The following is a 2,861-nucleotide window of genomic DNA, read 5'->3' on the forward strand; positions in this document are numbered from 1 at the left end:
TAAGCTATGAGGATGTAAAAGCATAAGAGTGATATAATGAACTTTGGGTATTTAGGTAGGGGGAAGTCTGGGAGGGGGATGAGGGATAAAAGACTATACATTGGGTACACTGTACACTGCTTGGGTGACTGGTACACCAAAATCTCTAAAGAACTCATTCATGCAACCAAAAACTACCTGTACCCCAAAAACTATTGAAATGAAAACAAAAATTGTTTTTAAGAAAAGACGGCTAGATTCTAATATCTGCTTCCACATTCAGTCTTGCAATATGTTGTTTCTGTTCAAATCTATGAAGAAAACCTGACCTCACACAGATGTCATTGGAAAAGGGAGGTATATAGTAAAAGCCCTTTCAGATAATTGTGGATGTTCTTTGATACTACACCAAAACTCAGCAACTGGTAGTTTCTCAAAGGTTAGTTGCAATGTGAAATCTGAAAATATATAAACTTTTTGTGCTCCATTACATTAAAATCCACTGGTCTATCTTGATATTTGAATGGATTTTTTTACCATTACATGATTTTATTACATCTAGCACAGGTCACTTGAGAAATATTAGCTCAATGAGTCATGTATGCAGATCCTGCAGTGTTGACACATCCATTATTCAATATTAAAGAAATCACATGTGTTAGTATCTCTTTAACTATTGGAAAGCTATCAAGCTCACGGTGGCTGATACAAGTTTTTCAAAATTCTTGAAAGCTTGAGTTTCATCATTGGCAACAAATACTGTCACTTATTTTCTTGGAAGTGACAGAATTAATTTGTTCATTTTCCAGATAATGTCTGCCAAATAGTCAAGTTTGAATAACCATAGTTTGTCTATCAGTTGTTCTTTCAAGTAAAAATGGTGCTCTCTGAAAAAAAAAAAAAGGGCAGGGAATTCAGCTCACAGTTCAGAAGATTGGCAAAGGTGCTTTTCCTTGAGGCAGCTGTGGAACTTCCAGATGGGGCAGAGGTGCTCTATGTCTACCTCCCACTTCATCACAAAGAACATTGAAAGGCCAGTGCTCAAATATTGAGATTTAATAAAATGAATAACTTTCAATATGTCATCAAGTACATTCTTGTTATTTCAAATTCATAATCTCTATACTTTACTCGTTTTCTTATTGTGGTAAAATACATGTAATATAAAATTTTCCATCTTAATTATTTTATATTTTATTTTTTTGAGATGGAGTTTCACTTTCATTGCCTAAGCTGGAGTGCAATGGTGCAGTCTCAGCTCGCTGCAACCTATGCCTCCTGGGTTCAAGTGATTCTCGTGCCTCAGCCTTCCAAGTAGCTGGGATTACATGCACCTGCCACCATGCTTGGCTAACTTTTGTATTTTTAGTATAGGTAGGGTTTCAACATGTTAGCCAGGCTGGTCTTGAACTTCTGGCCTCAGGTAATCTGCCCCCCTCGGCCTCCCAAAATGCTGGGAGTACAGGCATGATCCACCGCATCTGGCCCCAACTTAGCTATTTTTAAGCCTACAGTGCAATTGCATTAAGTAGATCACGTTGCTGTGCAGCCATCACCATCATCCATCTCCAGAACTGTTTTCATCTTGCAAAACCAAAACTCTGCATTCATTAAACAATAACTATCTGTTCCCCTCTCCCCCCAGCCCTTGGCAACCACCACTCCACTTTCTGTCTCTATGAATTTGACTACTCTGAGTACCTCATATAAGTGGAATCATACGGTAATTGTCTTTTTGTGACTGGCTTATGTCCTTTAGCATAATGTCCTCAAGGTTCATCCATGATGTAGCCTGTGGCAGGATTTTCTTCCTTTTTTAAAGCTGAATAATATCCCATTGTATGCATACACTACATCAAGTACATTCTTAAGTGAAACTGGCTTTTGTTTTTTCTGCACATGCATGGCAGTAAAGAATACAGTGATGACTAGTACAGGTCTGTGCTGAGGAGACAACAGTTCTACCCACCCTGAGTACAAAATGGAAAGGCAAACCATGTCATATTATCACAAAAATAGCGTTGGCTTTTCAGACACCGGAAACCATCTCAGCAAATTTACAACCTAGGTTCTATGTTGCAATTTCTACTTACACAGTGGATTAGTCCATTTCCACCTGCTTATAAAGACATACCCAAGACTGGGTAATTTATAAAGAAAAAGAAGTTTAAAAAAAAAAAAAAGAGGTTTAATGGACTCACAGTTCCAGGTGGCTGGGGAGGCCGCACAATCATGATGGAAGGTAAAAGGCATGTCTTACATGGCAGCAGACAAGAGAGAGTGAGGACCAAGTGAAAAGGGTTTCCCCACATAAAACCATCAGATCTCATGAGACTTATTCACTACCATGAGAATAGTATGGGAGAAACCACCCCCAGGATTCAATTGTCTTCCTCTGGGTCCCTCCCACAACACGTGGGAATGGGAGCTACAATTCAAGATGAGATTTGGGTGGGGACACAGACAAACCATTTCACACAGTAAAGTAGAAAGTCTTCAAAAAAGAAAGAGAAAACAGAAAATGCACTCATAGTCCTAAAGCCCAGAGGCAGCCACCATCAGTATATGCGCTGGTATGTTTTCTTATCAAGGCCACATTCCTGAAATGTTTTGTCTTTATGATGCTGATAAGCAGGGAAAGGGCCAAAAGACACTGTACTGGACAGATATTTTCATTCTCTCTACAAGCTCTAGAAAAACAGAGGACAATTAAATTCAGGACTAAACCAACATTTGGAAATGTGAACGTAATTAATTCCATAGAAATATTTAGGGAATATTTGTCTTTCATTTTTCCTCCGTAACATCTTGATATAGGGAGTGTGAGAATCCCTGGCTCCTTACCTCTAAGGTCCTTGTTTCTAAAATGTGGGTAGGCCATG

Source organism: Homo sapiens, chromosome 19, assembly GCF_000001405.40.
Source record: "Homo sapiens chromosome 19, GRCh38.p14 Primary Assembly".
NCBI classification, from domain to species: domain Eukaryota; kingdom Metazoa; phylum Chordata; class Mammalia; order Primates; family Hominidae; genus Homo; species Homo sapiens.